Consider the following 16,673-nt stretch of genomic DNA (forward strand, 5'->3'; position numbering starts at 1 on the left):
TATGGGTTTTGTAGAAAATCAGTTACTTACAAAATTTAAATGAGGTAACTGAAGCTCCATTTGTGTGTGTTTTTGCTACCTGAAATGAATTATAGTTGACTGTCTAATGATTATTAAGCTTCTCTAATTTTGAATTTTTGTTTTTGGTTGATGCAGTTTTTTTAAAACAATGACAGGGAAAATACCATGCATATTTCCTGAGTAACATCTAATTCAGCATAAAAACCCAGGTACTAAAGAAATCACAAAACTCTATTTCTCCTAACTTACCTTTCAGATCAGATTGATTTAATCACCCTCCTTTCCTTGGAAATTATTTCAGCCTATTACATTTTGTCAAGCAACCCCTCCTGAGGACTGCGGGGCAGCCTACCTGAGAGGCTGTGGATCTATAGGAGATTCCAGCAGCATCATGGCTCCAAGCAGGGGAACGGTGAGAGAAACAGCCAGCATCAAGAAGGTCACTCGGAAAACTCTGCCGCTAAAGGAGCTGCCAGAAATAAAAGATACAAAGGCAATCAGCTGAGTCTCAGACAGTGACAAGGTTGGCTGGTCCGAAAGCCCTCCCGGCAGGAGCAGGGACGCTCATCCAGTTTCCCCACTGCAAGCTGGCCGACCTCTGGCTTGTGATTAAACTCTAGCACTATTTGCTAGGATTGGCAAACACACTTTTGTTGTTGTTCTTTTTTTTTAATCTTCCAGCTTCCCCTGTGTGGGATACGTTGGATCAGTTACTTTCCAGATCTTGAATCCTCCAGGAGGGTTTTAAAGAAGGCAAACTCAAAGAACTGATGAACACAAAATGTAATGGGGAAAAAGAGTTCTAATGACATAAATGATACACACTCATCCACAGAAAAGGTGGGTAATTCTCAAAAGCTACGCATTCCCGGTGTATGGATTCAAAGCAGCAACACTCAGTACTATGCAGCCCTAAGATTCTCACAGATAGAAGAGACAGCTAAAGTCATGAAGGAAATGGAAGCAGAACAACTTCCTGAGGATCCAATTCCCCAATCACTTTTCCCAACCTACTTCTAAGAATTTAAAAGGAAATCCCAGATCTTCAACCTAATAGAAGAAGTCTGGCAGATACTGACAGTTATCCACACAGGATCTATAAAATTACAATTCAAAGTCATCACTCCTGAACCCTTGGGAAGATATGAAAGCTTCCCTGGGAATCCTGGGTGAAGTTTTTGGACAAATGACCAGTAGTGCCTTAAATATCTCTGAACCAATCTTCACATACAGTATCTCTCATCTGGCAAACAAGTGAAAGCATTTGGCCTCTTGCTACTAAATAAACCTCATAGGATCATTACTTGCTTACATGAATTGAACTCAAATTTACTAAATGCTTGGCATTAATATTAACTTAAACAAAATCATGAGTTCCTAAGGTAGAATTTTTTTCTTCCATGAAAAAAAGTGTTGACAAAGAAAAAAGTCAAGACTCACACTTAACAAAACAGACTTGATTTAAGGGGGCAGGGTTTGATTTTTGACAGAAGTGTAGTCTTCTGCCATTTAGACGTGTTAAACTCTGTTCTGGGTATGGTGTAGAAACATAAAGGCCAAGCCCTCTTTCCCAACAACCAGCCAGGGAACTGCAGGCCAGTTTCTCCACTCCAAAACCCACAGTTTCCCCCAGTGTGAAACGGGGTGTTGGGCAGGGTAACTTCCTGAACATGCATGATCCAGTCCTGAACATGCAAGATTTTTCACAAACGAATAAAGCAGAAAAGAAAAGAAATCCCTCTATTTCTACTGGGGTAGGTGGAAATAAAGACAAAGGAAAGACTAAGGGGAAGAAGAGGGAGCAGCTTTCACAAAGTGTCCCTTGCATTTTGGACAGCACCTCTGCAGAGTGGCTGGGTTCTGCCACCAACCTGAGTGGGCAGGAAACAGAGCCTCCCCAGAGCCTCCAGAAACACAGCCCTACTGACACCCTGATCTTAACACAGTGAGACCTGCCCAGGACTTCTGGCCTACAAAACTATTACATAATAAATCTGTGTTGTTCAGGACACTCATTGTGTGGTAATTTGTTAATGGCAGCCATAAAAATTAACAGTTTTCTAAGTAAATTAGTTTCCAGCACCCTGGAAGTGGGGTGTTGCTGTAACAGATATCTAAAAAAATGTGGAAGTAGCTTTGGAATAGAGCTGTGGGTGAAGGAAGGAAGAATTCTGAGGAGCAGCACAGAAAAAGCCTAGATTTCCTTGAACACATTAGTAAAACTACGGATGTTAAAAGACTCTACTTGTGAGGTCTCAGAAGGAAGAGGGGAGCATAGCAGGAAAAAAAACCATTGCCTGGGAGAACACCTAACTGGGCACGAACACTGCTGGCACTGCTGGGGAGGGTGCAGAAGGATGTCACGAGCATGGGATTGGAAACTGGAGCAAAGTGGATCCTGTAACACAGTGGTAGAAAGCTTGGCTGAATCGCGTCCTGCAGTTATGTGAAAAGCAGAGCTTCTAAACACTGAAACTGGACCCAGCTGAGGACATTTCCCAGCACAGTGTTGAAGGCAAGGCCCGGTTTCTCCTGCTGCTTCCTCCTCCAGAGCAGGACAGGCCCGAGGGCAGTGTTAACCACTGCCTTCTTCCTTTGCCATTTCCCTTTGCTGATGAGAATTCTGTGTCTATTTTTCTTCTAATAATCTTCCAAAAATGAATTTTGTCCCTAACTTCCTCCCCTTCACTCATAAGGGGTTCAGAGCTCACCCCGTACACCTGAGGCCAGGTAAAATGCCACATTGCCAGTCCTTACCCCTTTTATTAGGTGGGAAAGGAGGTGGTCCAGACCCTACAAACACAAACAAAATGCCACAGACACACCAGGGAGAGGCCAAGGGAGCCCAGCTCCTGGAAGAGGGCAGGTGAGAATGAAGGGGAAAGTCAGGTCAACCTCTCCCTCCCAGTCCTGTCTCCAAACCCCAGGACCAAATAATCTTCTTCTAATGTGACTGACTTATACCAGTCATGGGTATAAGCACCACAGGCATAAAAATGTCTACAAAGCACAGAACTACGACCTGACATGACGGCAGGCTCATGCAACCTGAGAGGTCTGCAGCAGGGAAAGGAGTAAGGGCCAGGAAAAGAGGAATGGCAAACAGTCCAAATGAGAGTATGCCAAGAAATGTGCTTTACGTGGGCAACCAGATGGAACCAGGTATCTCTCTCCTTCACAAATGAGGGAAGTGGGCAGGGAAAGGCTCAAGTGGCTTTCCCACAGCCAATGCAAGAGCTGGAAAAGCGCAACTGAGAGCCAGATGTGACTCTATGGCTGCGGTCACCATTAGAAGCGCTGCCTGCCAAGAGCAAGAGGAGGGAGTGGAGGATGCCCAGACCTAGAGCCCTCAGAGCGGGAGTTTGAAAGCTCTGTGAAAATTCATGGTGATCTGCCTATTCTAGGCATTTCATATAAGTGGAATCATACAACAAGTGACCTTTCATGACTAGCTTCTTTCATTCAGTGTGTTTTCTAGGCCCATCTAAGTTGCAGTATGTATCTGTACATGGTTCCTTTTACCAGTTGATTATGTATGTATCTACCACAACTTGCTGCCCACTCATCTGGTTTTTTGTTTTTTAAATATAAAGACACGGTCTCAGTATGTCAACCAGGCTGGAGTACAGTGGCATGATCATATCTCACTGTTATCTCAAATTCCTGGGCTCAAGTGATCCTCCTGTCTCAGCCTCCCAAAGTAGCTAGGACTACAGGTGTGCACCACCACACGTGGCTAATTGTTTTACTTTCTGTAGAGAAAACATCTTGCTACATTGTCCAGGCTGGTCTTGAACTTCTGGCCTCAAGCAGTCTTCCCACCTTAGCCTTCCAAAGTGCACCCTGAGATGAGCAGGCATGAGCAACCATGTCTAGCCCCACTCATCTGCTGAACATTTGTGTGGGAGGGGGAAATGGGAGTGATTACTTAATCAGTACAAGGTAAACACCTTGCTTTTATGGGGTGATGAAACAGTTTTGAAAGCAGAGAGAGTTGGTGGTTGCCCAACATTGTGAATACACTAAATATCACTGAACTGTGCACTTTAAAGTGGTTAATTGTATGTTATGCGAATTTCACCTCAACTAAAAAAAAAAGTTGACAGTGACAAGAATGTTCTAAACTTGGATTGCGGTAATTACTGCAAAACTGGCCATTATACTAAAAATCACTGATTTGAACATTTTAAGTAGGTTAATTTTATGGTATGTGAATTACATCTCAATAAAGATGTTAAAAAAAAACAAAAACAAAACAAAGTCAGTGACTCCACCATGCAAACTGCCACTCCAATGGCTAGGACACCCTTCAACCCAAGTGATTTTCTTTAAGTGACCTAAAGTCTTCCAACACAATAGAAATGAAGTACTTGTACAATAAAGCAGGGCTGGTTACAAGTAAATGACAGAAACGCTTCTGACAGTGTGAACCCCAAAGAGAGACAAAGCATATGGAAAGGTGGATGGTGAAGATGTGTGGCTGCCAGCCCTGAGAGCTGCCCTCACTGCACTCTGGTACTGAGTCCAACAGGGACTGCCTGCCTTAAAGGAAGCTGATGCCATCACCCACCCCACTCCCAGGAGAGAAGAGTCCCTCTAGGGAAGGTACATTGTGTTTTCACCTCATGACCTTCATTATAAACAGTAACAATCTTGCCAAAACGCTACTTTTTCCTTGCCTAACATCATTCTACCTAAGGCAGATTTTCCTCATCTGTCTTGACTCCAACATTGTGACCTCTACTTTACCACACTGCAGCTTATATTTTTAAAATCTTGATGTGGTAATCTGATTCAGAGCTGGTGGCACCCCATTTAAATACCTGGTTGCCCCTTCACACAATAGTTAGAGGCTCAATTATGTCCCAAACAAAAAGTCCAGCCAGGACTGAAAGCCACGGGGCTTACAGCCAGAAAGGAGGCCAAAAGTCCATTGACAAAGATTTGTGTCCCAATGCTGCGGGATCTACCATACCAGTAACACTCTCCTAAAGCTGGAGAAGAATTTAGAGGCCACTCAGTCTACTGTTCCCAAAGGCAGCCAACTCCTGGATGGGCTACATCAAGATGACCTGGGCCAGAGATTCTGCTTTGGTAGGTACAGGGTGGGCCTGCGAACTCTTTCATCGGTTGTTCCTCATGTGCAGCTGGACACCACTAACTCTATGCAGCTCCCTTCCCAGTCAGACTTCACCAACACCTCCTCAACCTCACCTGATCAGCATCCAGCCTCCACTGGAAAGTTCTGTGGTCACGTATTAGAAATACTAGCTTAAATTTAAACAAAACTCCTTGAGCTGCACTGTCCAATAGAACTTTCTGCAACGATGGAAATACAATAGCTACTAGCCATGTGTGGTTCCTGAGCACTTGAAATGGAGTTAGCTTGTTATATAAATGAGGTAAGCACAGCTCCTGGACCCCTGCTCTGGGTGCCACACTTATTTTAGCCCAAGGTCCATTAACTTTTCGGCAGGCCCTCATCAGTGTTGCTTCCTGTAAACTCACAGTTAACCACAATTCTTCTGTCTTTTCTCGGTGTCTGCCTCCCTCTTACTCTTTTTTTAACTTAAATAAAGAACACTGTATCGATCCCTATCCATTTTCACTGACAAAGCATTGCAGGTTCCCAACCTGTGCTGACACATCCAGGAACGCTGGCAACTTAGTTCCCAGGCGCAGTTTGAGAAATCAGTTTGTTTGCCCCAATCTCTCGGAAGAGCCTGGAGGGATGCCCATCTCCATGAGGACATCTGCACCCTGAAATTGCCTACACTCTCTGAAGGCAAGAGCACAACCACAGTGATGCAACAGGATTTGACAACTGCTGTTGGCTGGGCCATGATTTACACAATCTTCTGTAGATTCACCAGCCAATTTGGCAGATTTTGAAGGGTATCCTCTAACTCTGCACACAGGACATTAGGGCCTTGGGTCCTGAACTGAAGTCCCAACAAGCAGACTCCAAGAGATCAAAATTCACCTGTGATTGTTGTGGAAAACCTGATAGCCCCAAATCCATGGGGTACCAGCAACCTCATGTGTCAAGGTGATCCCTGGAACCTGAGAAAATCAGATAGCATCAACCCATCTTTTTTAGTGACAGCATCTTGAATTTGTTCATTTTTCACAATCCTTTAAACTGGGGCTCCTAGATTCATCAATTTATCCTTGAAAAAAATTAAGAAATCAAGAAACAAGTTTAAAAAGCCATCTGAAAATACACACCTGGGGCAAAGCTGAGACAAACACTCCAGCTGCCTTACTCCTCATGAATTCGTGAATGCCCAATCTGTTTCTCCATACTTCCTCCCTTACTCTTCAGTCTCCAAGAGGAAAAAGGAAAATGGACCTAGCAGACTTTTAATTAAACTAAAATCCTTCAGAAGTTTATTGAAAAAGGAGAATTATACAGAATTTAATGTATTGAAACATATTAAATCCTCAATGTATTTATTCTGCATCCCTAAACAGTCACATATGGACATTAAACAGTTCTCTTCCTAGATAGAACTGTGTTTCAAACAGAAAGGAATAGTTCCACAGAGTACAATTAAGTTTCTAAAGCATTTCGGGAAATCAATGTCAAATAATAATTATAAGCTTGCACCGGTATGTTAAAGTACTTAGCTCATCTATGTTCCACACTGAATAAAAGAATTTACCAACCAAATTCTCCATTATATTTCAAATACAGTAATTCAAGAGCTTTGGCATAAAGTCTTATTTCCAAAGCATAATTTTAAAAATACACTTCTCAGTCATTGTCCAGCTGCCAGTTCTATCCTTCTTCATTCATTTTCATTTCTCTTTTGACTCTATTCTCTGTAACTTCATATAAACCACCTCACACACATAGACCTCAATGATCTCATCAGCAAAACAAAGCAAACACCCACCTTTTGTGCCAAGAGTTGGGAGACCACCCAACGTATTACTAGGGGTCCCTACCACTGCTAAAATCTATGTCTTAGTTCTGTCAGTTTAGTAATATGTCTTTCAAGGCTTCCTTTATTCTATTTAGCACATCTAAAGTGCTAAAGTTTATTCTAATAGTTTCGTGTTTTTACTTCTGAATTTAGATTCCTTTACTTCGCCCACTATACACAGGCTTTCCTGGCTTATGTTGAACCCTCGACTTTTAAGGTAATCAAGAATACTATTACATGAACTACTAGAAATGACCACAAAATAAATGAAAAATATAGGAGAAATGCAGAAGAAAAATAAGAAAAACAGCTACCATGTTACAATAATAATTGCGGAAAGGAAGGGTGGTGACAAGACCTCACTTTGAAAGAGATCATTACAGATATACAGAAAAGGGATAAACAAACAAGAAGGACAAACACAGGGAAACAGGAACAATGTTCATGGACAGGGAAGTCAAGGAAATAAGTAAACATAAATGTAAAAGGCACACTGGAAAAGATCAGGCAGTAAAAGATGACTTTAGAATCAGATTTACTTACTCATTAAGGAAGAAATCCCCACAGAGAACCTGAAAAAAACAATTAAGTCTGCCTGCTTGCCCTGGGGCCAGAAGTGTGAGCCAGCCAACTTGAGAGTTGGGACTACCTAACCGGTGCCCTCAGGGGCTGTAGGCCCTGGTTTTCAACACACTGCACCTAATGACAAACTCAGGCCACTGCTCTTCCATTTCTCAGGTAAAAATGCCTTGTTTTCAAGATTTCTGTAGGAAAGTGTTGCCAATTCTTGCATGTCCATTCTAAATGGCTCCTCAATCATCAACAGATGATTAATTCACAATATTCACAGTAAGTAGGGTGATCAGATTGTCCCAGTTTGCCCAGGTTTAGCACTGAAAGTTCTACATCCTTGGAAACCCCAGTCCAGGGCAACGCAGGATGGTTGGTCAGGATATATGGGAGCATCTTCCCGATCTTTTCACTGGCCCAAGGAGTCAACTATCACCGCAAAGTCTTCTCTCTAAATTGCCTCTCTAGAGCCTAAATGCTCCTTCCTGCCATCGCTCTCCTTCAAATGTGTTCCTCTTATCATCAGTCAATAAACTCAGTCTACAGGGGCAAAAACTGCCTCTCATTCATATGTACCCCACCACCTCTTGGCACACTACTGATGAACAAATATTTCCAGTATTTCTATCAAATATAAGTCAATCAGTCCCACAACTTCAAGCTTGGTCTATGGGGCCTCTTGATTCTCCCTGAAACTTAAAAGTTATGAAATTCAGGACACAGAATTGAAAAGTGAATTTTAAGTATCTTATATTGAAATCTATGCTTACGAATCATGATTCAGTTTTTAGCTAACAAAACACAGCATTCTTATATTCTGAAAGATGGGAGAGGAGGCAAAGGGCAAAACCTGATATTTCTTAGGTGTCAACAACTACAGTTTCCTATGTTTCTCCATCCCTATCAGGAAAAACTGCCAGGCTGAATTCTCACAAAAATTGCCTACAATGTCACTACTGTTCTCCACTCTTTCCAAGAACCGCGGTGAGGACTGGTCACGCAGCGTGAGGGGGGCAGGTGCAGAAGAGCAAGTGTAGAAGCCATCTCTTCGCCGGATAACGAGGCAGGACCCCAGCATCTCGTGGGACCTCCTCCCTTCGGGAAATTGCGAGCGGGGAACCAGGAACACGCAGGGCCCCGGCCAAGTAGCTGTGCTCAGGGGGATCATTTAAGCCAAAGGAAGGACAGCGCGAGGGGAGCGAGGGAAAGGCGAGGAAGCAACCGCTATGCAGGGTGGGGCAGGAGTGAGGGAGGGAAGGCAAAGGAGCGGCGCGAGGCGGTCTCGGGTCCGGAGAGCCGAGGACAACGCGGCGACTGGGCGCAGGGTGCACCCGAACCTGAAAGACCTGGCAGGTACATCCGCCTTGTCGGAGCCTGCTTCCTCGGAAAAATGAGTTTTTCTTGGGGATGAAACGAGAGGACTCTGACAACGCGCTCGGCACCGCATCCCCAGGTTACTGTTACTGCCGTCGCCGCTGTCCAAGAGGGTCGCCCTCCACTCCTAGCGGCCCGGCTCCAGCGCCCAGTCTGGGAGTCCGCCCTACCTGCCGTCCTTAGCCTCCGGGGCCTGGCCATCATCGTCTGTGACGACCTGCGGCCGCAGGGGCCGGCGCTGTCGCAGCCCGTCCGCCTCGCTCATGGTACGGGCGCCAGCCTCACCCGCAGAAACCACCTCACACTGAGCGGCGCCGGCTCAGACTCCAGGCCCGCCCTCCCCCGTACGCGGAAATGACGTTGCGCCCAGGGACCATTCCGCAGCGTTCTCCCCGCCCCTTCCGGCCTCATGGGCGGGAGGTCCCCGGCGCGTCGTTGCTCGGCGCTCTGAGGCTAATTCTGACCGCCCGGAAGTGGGGCTCGGAACCCGCTCAGAGATAGCACCGGGAGCTGCCGGGGTCCCCGCCTGTCTCGGACTCCGGGGCCCAGAACGCGAGTGGTTCAACCTCGGGCTCGTCTAGCCCAGTGCCTGCGCATGCCGCCTTCGTCTCACGTTTCTGAGGACGGGGATGCTCATGACGCACTTGGGAATTGCTAGCACGAGATGTTGGCCACTTTTATCGTTGGAGAGGATAGCGCTGTTTATTCAGTGTCAGCGACCCTGCTCTTACAGGCAGCGTCAAAAATAATGCATTCACACCCTTGGAACGAAGTCACCTCTGCCTGAAAATTACATCCTTCCCCGACTCAGCCGGTTAAGGGGAAAACTTGGGCTAGAAAATGTTTCCCTCTGGTTAAGGCCAGATGTTGAGTATTAAATCTTTTTGTGACGATTACAACAGACATTTGATAAAGTTTATTAAGTTTTGATAAAGTTTATTAAGTTTTGATAAAGTTTATTAAGGATTACCCTTAAGTAAAGTCCAGGTAGAAGTAGAAATTATCACTAACAAAGTTTAAGAAAGCATAGAGAGGCATTGTTCTTTCAACAGTATTGCAGGAAACCAGAAATGTTCCCAGGTGCTGGGAGACGATGGTGGGCAAATCACAGACAAGGCCCCTCCTTATAGAAATTAAACTAGTGGGAAAGATGACTTTAATCAGATCATCATCATAAAATAGACGTAAAATTATCAAACGTAATAATTGCTTCAAAAGGGAAGAGCTGAATCTTGTGAGAGCATTTGAGATTCAAAGAGGAATCGAATCTGGAGGAAGTGACAGGCAGAAGAAATCAAAGCCCGTTACCAGTGGCACGAGGAATTATCTCTGGAAAAGCCATGTTCAAAATGCAGTGTTAAGAAATAATTTCCTCTTGGAGGCTTTTACCTTTTTAAATGCTAGATGGCACTAGAATTCCATGTGAATGCTTTTTATTTATTCATTCAAAGAGCGGAAGAACCAGCTTGAGGGAAGTGGAGAGCTGTGCAAATCCAGTTCTCCAGAGATCCCAGGTAATAATTCAGGCCTCGACAACATTTTACTTCATTCTGTGTCATTGAGAATAGCCAATACAGCTATTAAATCAGGGATAGTGTTAACAAAGTACTGTATGATCTCACGCCTTCCTGCCTGTCTGGACTATCCCTCTTGCTCCCCACCCCCCATTTCAGACATTCAGGATGGCTTAACATGTCTAATCTCATGCCTGGCTGCCTTTGTCCTTGAGGTTCCTTCTTCCTGTGATACACTCTCCTTCACCTCCACTTGGCCAATTATTTTTATCATTCAGGACCCACTTCAAGTATCCTTGCTGAAAATTCTTCTCCCAGTTTCCCAAGCAGAACATCTTCCTCTTTGTCTTCAAGGCACTTTAAACATGTCCCAGCCATAACATTGAACTCACTGCATTGGAGCTATTTGTGTTCCATGCCCAGTGTTAAAGCCCACGCACTGCAAACACCCAGGGACACATTCAGAAGAAAAATAATGGCAGTAAGTTGGGTTTACTGAACTTGCTGCAGCAAAGAAATGCACCAGAGGACCGGTGAGGTTCCTCAAAATGGGGGAGTCATGGGAGACTCCTTGTGGGGTTTGGGGGCTGGAGTTAGTCCATCGATAGTCTTGCCCAGGGTTGGTCAGAATCCGTTAACAACGGGAGTCACTGGAGGAACCGTGGCCTTAGCTCTGGGACATGTAAGTCCATTCGGAGTTATCAGGAGGTCAGCTCGTGGGCTTATCATGAAGCACGTAGGTAGTTGGTGTTACAGTGGTCTGAGCTAGATCATTTGTGCTGCATAGCACGGGTTCAGTACAGTTTTTCTGTTTTCAAGTCACGGTGAAGCACGCTTTGCTTGTTGTATTTGTTTCAGTTATCAGTTCTCCCACCCCACCTTCCAACCAGACCGACTTTGTTTCTCATCGTGCTGATGCCAGTTGTTGGCAGAGGAATGGGACCACTATGATTAATTTGATCAGGTTTCTCAGCACCACTGATATTTTGGGCCAGATAATTCTGTTAGGAGGCGGAGGGGGGCCTCTCCTGTGCGCTGGTGTTTCAGCAGCATCCCTGGGCTTCCCCCACTAGATGGCAGTAGCATCCCACCTAGTCGTGATGATAAAAAATGTTGCCAGACATTGACAGATAGCCCCTGGAGGACAAAACAGCCCTTGGTTGAGAAGCGCTGAGTGAGACCAACCAAAACCCACACCCAACCCTGGCACTGGGGATGAGGCTCACTTCCATCGGAACACTGGCCCACGTGGAGGGCATTTATCTCAACAAAAGCAGGCTCTGCCAGCATGGAAGAAGAAGCGCATGATGCTGGCAGGGAGCCCACAGTATGCCTCGCAGCTCAAACCAGAAGCAAACCCTACTTCTAGTCCAGTGCTTTTTCCCAGTCCCATGCTGTTTCAACTCCTTCCACAGAGATCTCCTGAAAGCCTGCCAGATGCCAAGTGCGGTGACAAAACAAGGGTGAAATACAGTGATCCAGCCTGCACAGGCGTTATCATCTTGGAGGGGAGAGAGGAAGCGTAACGAACGACACTATAAAGCACTGCTGCAGAAGAGCTGCAGGGTACCTTGGGGCTGCAAGGAGGAACAAGTGCTATTAGATGGGACTGACCAGAGATGTCTTCTTGGAGGAAGGGGCTTTGCACCAGGACTTAGATAAATAAGATTATAATGGCGGGGGGAGGGGGAGGTTGGGGGATAGAGAAGGACAAGAAACAGGCTAAGAGGGATGAGTGGGGTGCCCAGGGATTGTTAAACAAGGGGGTGATGATCAGGGATGGACATCAGGGTTACTGAGTGATCAGAAAGAATAGCCACAAATATATACGCCTGTTATGTACCCACAAAAACAAAAAATAAAAATAAATATTTTTAGCAAAGAAAGAATAGTCTGAAAAGGGCAAAGCAGAGCAGGAAGTAGCTGAACCCCTTCTTCCCCACAAGTCCAGGAAAGCACAGAAGGCGCTGCCAACTCGGAAAAGGGCTGCAAGGGAAGTTGTTCTGTCGTGGTGGGATGTCGTGGTGGGAAGCTCCAGTTTTAATTCAGGTGGGACAGTGGAGACAGTAAACTTAGGCAATGTACACTAGTTTGTTCACCGCAGGAAAAGCACCTTAGAGACCATGCAGCTACCAGAAACAGACATCCACCAAAGCTGGCGGAGAATGAGGGAGGGATGCATTGGAAGGATCTGGGGATACCTTATGGAACTCAGGCTCAGAAAGTACAGCCAGGCCTCACAGGGACTGGAACAAAGACCTGGGAACACAGGGGCAGAGTCACCCTCTGCCTCCTGGTGCCTCACACTGTCCTGTCTCTGCACCCCTCCGTGCTCACATGGCACGCCCTGCTGGGCTGGCCCTTTCTCTTTTGTTGCCCTCCCCTGGAGAGCTGGAAAAGATCAGTGTTACTCATCCAGCTGTCAAAGCTAATGCAGCCATAGGCAGTATTTTGGCACAAGATAAAAACAGAAATATAGTGACTATTTTGAACTTTAGGAAAGTTTTTGCATTTCTGATAAAAGGGACAAATGGGACTAGCACTGCCCCTTCTTCTCCTGCCTGGAACCCGAGAGTTAAGCATGGAGCAGCAGCATCTTAACACCACAGGAATACACCTTGATGTCTAAAAAACACACCCAGAACAGAAGAGCCTAGGTCCTTAATGGTGCCCCTGAGCTGTTCACCACAGCCAGCAACCACCTACCTCAGGGCTGCCTATCACATGAGAGAAACAGTCCTTTTATGCATTGAGGCAGCTCTCAGGGGAGCAATTTGCACTGCTCCTCAGGGCCAACAGGCTAGCATTGTCTACCTGGACATATCCATGGTGAAAAAGCATCGCCTAAGCCCAACTCTCCCTGGCTCTCCCATTTCAAGTATCCCACACCAACTAACTATGGTCTCCGTCTCCAAGTCTTGATTCCTGGACTGAGAATCTGATGTTCCCAACTTTGGTGAGGTTGATGATCCATGTTAGAGGATAAGACCCCGTGGCCCATTGACCATTCAACGGGAACAACACAGCAGCCTCCCTGTTGTAGGCAGAAGGGCAGGACAGGCTCACTGAATGCGTGGTCACCCCATGAGAAGCAGGGAGGAGCAGAGGTGAGCACTGAAGAGAGTCTGGCCAGGAAAATTGCCCTAATTGCCCACGTGGAGGATTCTTAAGGTCGACCTAGACTTGGCAGGAAAAGTGCTCAGGAGGAAAGACGTTCAGCAGTCACCTCCACCACAGGCATGTACATTCCTGATTGTCTGTTGTTGAAAAGTGAATGGCCAGCCCCTTTGTTCCCTTTGGAATCTTAACACTGACATTTCATGATTAGCACAGATCACTCATTAATCATGTTTTATTACATCCAGAAACCATCTCTTGAGAGTAACTACACTTGACCCTTGAACAACATGGGTTTGAACTACACAGGTGCACTCATGGGAGAATGTTTTTTCAATAAAAGTTACACCAGCCTCCCCTTCCACCTGCTCCACCTCTTCTGCCTCTGCCACCCCTGAGACAGCAACAACCCCTCCCCTCCCTCCTCCTCCCAGCCTACTCAATGTGAAGACAATGAAGATGAAGACCGTCATGATGATCCACTTCACCTTCATGAATAGTAAAAATATTTTCTCTTCCTTATGATTTTTAATGGCATTTTCTTTTCTCTAGCTTAGTTTACTGTAAGAATACAGTATATAATACTTAGGACATACAAAATATGTGTTAATTCAATGTTTACAGCTATCAGTAAGGCTTCCGGCCAACAGTAGGCTATTCATAGTTAAGTTTTGGGGGAGTCAAATGTTATATGTGGATTTTCAGCTGGACTGGGGGTTGGCACCCCCAACCTCCACTTTGTTCAAGGGTCAACTGTAATCATTTCCATTTTGATGATTCCTGTCCTGCTTTTTTTTCTGTTGAAAAAACTTATGCATATTTGTAAGAGTTCAATGTTTCTTTGGCTCTCAGTAATGAAGAGATGTGTTGTTTGGGTGAGGTAATGTCCTTCTTTAGGAAGGAATTGGCCCAATGTGTTTGTTCATGCAGAAGGCTGTGTGGCAAAAGTTTGGATCTACAGGAACAGAGAGACTAGAAAACCCAAGATTAACCAACTGATGGCTCTTGCCAGAGAAGTTCCACCCTGTTGCAAAAGAAGTTGGCAATGTTAGTTATCTCAAAAGGTTTCCAAACTCAGGTGCGTACTGGTAACGTCCTAGGGTATGGAACACCCAGCTCCCTTCCATCTACTAGTTCTGGGTTTGTTTAGGATAGGCTTCTTGCCCTCTAGCTTGTCACCTCCATAGCCAGGGGTGGCTCCCTGTGGTCCAGTTCCATGGGCACTAACCAACAACTTTTCTTGTATCTGGAATAAAGACTGGCACAGGTGGGAGCCTCAGTTTCACGATTAGCAACAGCCACTGGAACAGAACAAAGTGCAAACTCAGGCACCCACAAGTGGCAAGTTTGGGGGGTAATGGCATTCCTGTAGGATGGCTGATAGGGAGCAAGTTGACAGGGAGACCTCCACTCTCCCATGGCCTTAATAGAAGGAGAAGCAGCAGCTGGACAACTGAACAAAAGCATGACTCTTCTCCCCCAGACGGATAAACTGAGCCTATCTTCTCTGTTTCTTCCCTTTCTGCCCTCCAGAGAGCAGGGTGGGTGAGGACACCCTCATTTCCTCACTCTGATGCTTGTGAGCCAAGGCAGCAGGCAGGAGGATTTTCGTGTCCCACATAGTTCTTGCCTTCTTCATAGGTCTGCCCTGTGCCTTCATAGCAGTTTATTCCCCTCCCTCCACTGCAGAACTCCAGAGCCTGAGCCAGCGCCTCCATTCCCTGCCTTTCTCCACCAGGCCAAAGCTCTGTTCTTCCCACACATCAGCTAGGTCAGTGTGACGTCTGTTCACTCTTCATTCTACAGATACCACTGGGCACTTTCACATGCTGGGCACTGCTATAGGCACTGGGGATTTGGATTGGTGTTATTCGCCGTGTTTATCAGTATGTGACTGCAGACGCAAGCTCTGAACACTCTCGCTTTCACTTCAGTAAGTGTCACAGAGCTCCTAAGTCTTTATAGGGAAGCAAATCATTTATGAACTCACAGGAGGAAGGTCTCCTGAACTCAGTAACTGACTTAAAGCATTTGCGTTTTCTCAGGGGCCAAGTTTCTCGCTCCACTCTTTGTTTACATGCACACACCAGAGAGGCAACCCTAAGGAGATGAACACCTTCTCCTTCCCTTCCCATGGCTCAGGTCCTGCTTCTCCAGTTTCCTTCCTCCGAGTGCCCTATGCCAGGAGGCCATGACAGTGTTGGGCTCCATAATGAGAGTGTGGGTACCTTCACAATGGCAGCAACTGGACTCAGAGGCATTCCATGGAAGGGAAAAGGAGCTGCGTATGCCAGGCAGCAGAGGCAAAGGCTTCAACCGGGCATCATGAATTGTGGCTGTGCTTTATAGTGTCACCCCAGAGGGGCTGAACTTTAAGACAGTGGCTCTCAACTTTGGCTGCATGTTGGAATCATCTGGAAAGATGCCTACGTGACACCCCAGAAATTCTGGTATCACTGGTCTGGGGTACTGCTTGTGCATTGGGAGTTTTAAAATACTTTTAAAAACTAAATTTGCAACAGATTAGCACTTTAAAAGCAAATAGGAAATAGAGAAATACGTAGAGCATTCCAATTTGGGGAACCTGAGTCCAGTGTCTCTGAGACTGGAGACCTTGGAGAATCACTGCCACCACCAATTTGTACTGGGGACCTGAGGGACTGCCCGCCTGCAGAAGACACCTGAGAGGCAGCTCTGGGCTGGGAGGGGCTGCAGGGATGCAGGTGAGACGCTGACGAAACACCCCTCTCCTCTGCTGGGCTGGGACTCTGCAAGGCTGTGATTTAGCCATGGGACACAGATTATGATCAGGAATGGGTGGGGGTGGCATCTGAAATGCTGATGTTTTGTATCATGACCTTGGAGGGGGTTACCTGGGTTTTGTTTTATATCAGCTTGTTTAGCTGCATATTTATGTACACTTTTCTATGTAAGTTTGTACACTTGTACACTTTTCTGTATAAGTTTGTTATATTCCATCCCCTCCCCAAAAGTCTAAAAAATAAAACAAAAACAAAAACACCTGTTGCCTAGCTTGAAAGTTCTCTCTATCCAGGTCCCTATCTTAAGTTGAAATAAAACTTAGGCTTAGTCAGTGATCTCCAAACACTGGTTGACTGGACCAGGGCCTGGCTGACTGTGCAAAACA

General features: G+C 45.9%; 1 protein-coding gene across 2 annotated transcripts in view, besides 7 other annotated features; it reads right to left on the reverse strand.

Annotated features, from left to right (window-relative positions):
• Window positions 1-9,222, reverse strand: part of APMAP (adipocyte plasma membrane associated protein) — a 29,827-nt gene extending 20,605 nt beyond the window's left edge. For both annotated transcript variants that reach the window (XM_005260763.4, NM_020531.3), the window contains exons 1-2: window positions 9,065-9,222; window positions 374-490 (exon numbers count right to left, since the gene is read on the reverse strand). In XM_005260763.4, the coding sequence (XP_005260820.1) occupies window positions 374-490; window positions 9,065-9,159 (212 nt within the window). In that variant the 5' untranslated portion in view covers window positions 9,160-9,222. The remainder of the gene's footprint in view (window positions 1-373; window positions 491-9,064) is intronic.
• Window positions 8,775-9,275: an enhancer, noted in NCBI's record as "H3K27ac hESC enhancer chr20:24972940-24973440 (GRCh37/hg19 assembly coordinates)". NCBI's record gives its function as "activates a minimal SCP1, AML or CMV promoter by ChIP-STARR-seq in naive H9 embryonic stem cells {active_cell/tissue: H9 hESC(naive)}" and the evidence as "EXISTENCE:reporter gene assay evidence [ECO:0000049][PMID:30033119]".
• Window positions 8,775-9,776: a biological region, named in NCBI's record as "H3K27ac hESC enhancers GRCh37_chr20:24972940-24973440 and GRCh37_chr20:24973441-24973941".
• Window positions 8,834-8,893: an enhancer, noted in NCBI's record as "active region_17654". NCBI's record gives its function as "activates an Ori minimal core promoter by ATAC-STARR-seq in GM12878 lymphoblastoid cells {active_cell/tissue: GM12878}" and the evidence as "EXISTENCE:reporter gene assay evidence [ECO:0000049][PMID:35858748]".
• Window positions 8,914-8,993: an enhancer, noted in NCBI's record as "active region_17655". NCBI's record gives its function as "activates an Ori minimal core promoter by ATAC-STARR-seq in GM12878 lymphoblastoid cells {active_cell/tissue: GM12878}" and the evidence as "EXISTENCE:reporter gene assay evidence [ECO:0000049][PMID:35858748]".
• Window positions 9,124-9,363: an enhancer, noted in NCBI's record as "active region_17656". NCBI's record gives its function as "activates an Ori minimal core promoter by ATAC-STARR-seq in GM12878 lymphoblastoid cells {active_cell/tissue: GM12878}" and the evidence as "EXISTENCE:reporter gene assay evidence [ECO:0000049][PMID:35858748]".
• Window positions 9,276-9,776: an enhancer, noted in NCBI's record as "H3K27ac hESC enhancer chr20:24973441-24973941 (GRCh37/hg19 assembly coordinates)". NCBI's record gives its function as "activates a minimal SCP1, AML or CMV promoter by ChIP-STARR-seq in naive H9 embryonic stem cells {active_cell/tissue: H9 hESC(naive)}" and the evidence as "EXISTENCE:reporter gene assay evidence [ECO:0000049][PMID:30033119]".
• Window positions 11,628-11,787: an enhancer, noted in NCBI's record as "active region_17657". NCBI's record gives its function as "activates an Ori minimal core promoter by ATAC-STARR-seq in GM12878 lymphoblastoid cells {active_cell/tissue: GM12878}" and the evidence as "EXISTENCE:reporter gene assay evidence [ECO:0000049][PMID:35858748]".

Source organism: Homo sapiens, chromosome 20 (genome assembly GCF_000001405.40).
Source record: "Homo sapiens chromosome 20, GRCh38.p14 Primary Assembly".
In the NCBI taxonomy this organism is placed as follows: domain Eukaryota; kingdom Metazoa; phylum Chordata; class Mammalia; order Primates; family Hominidae; genus Homo; species Homo sapiens.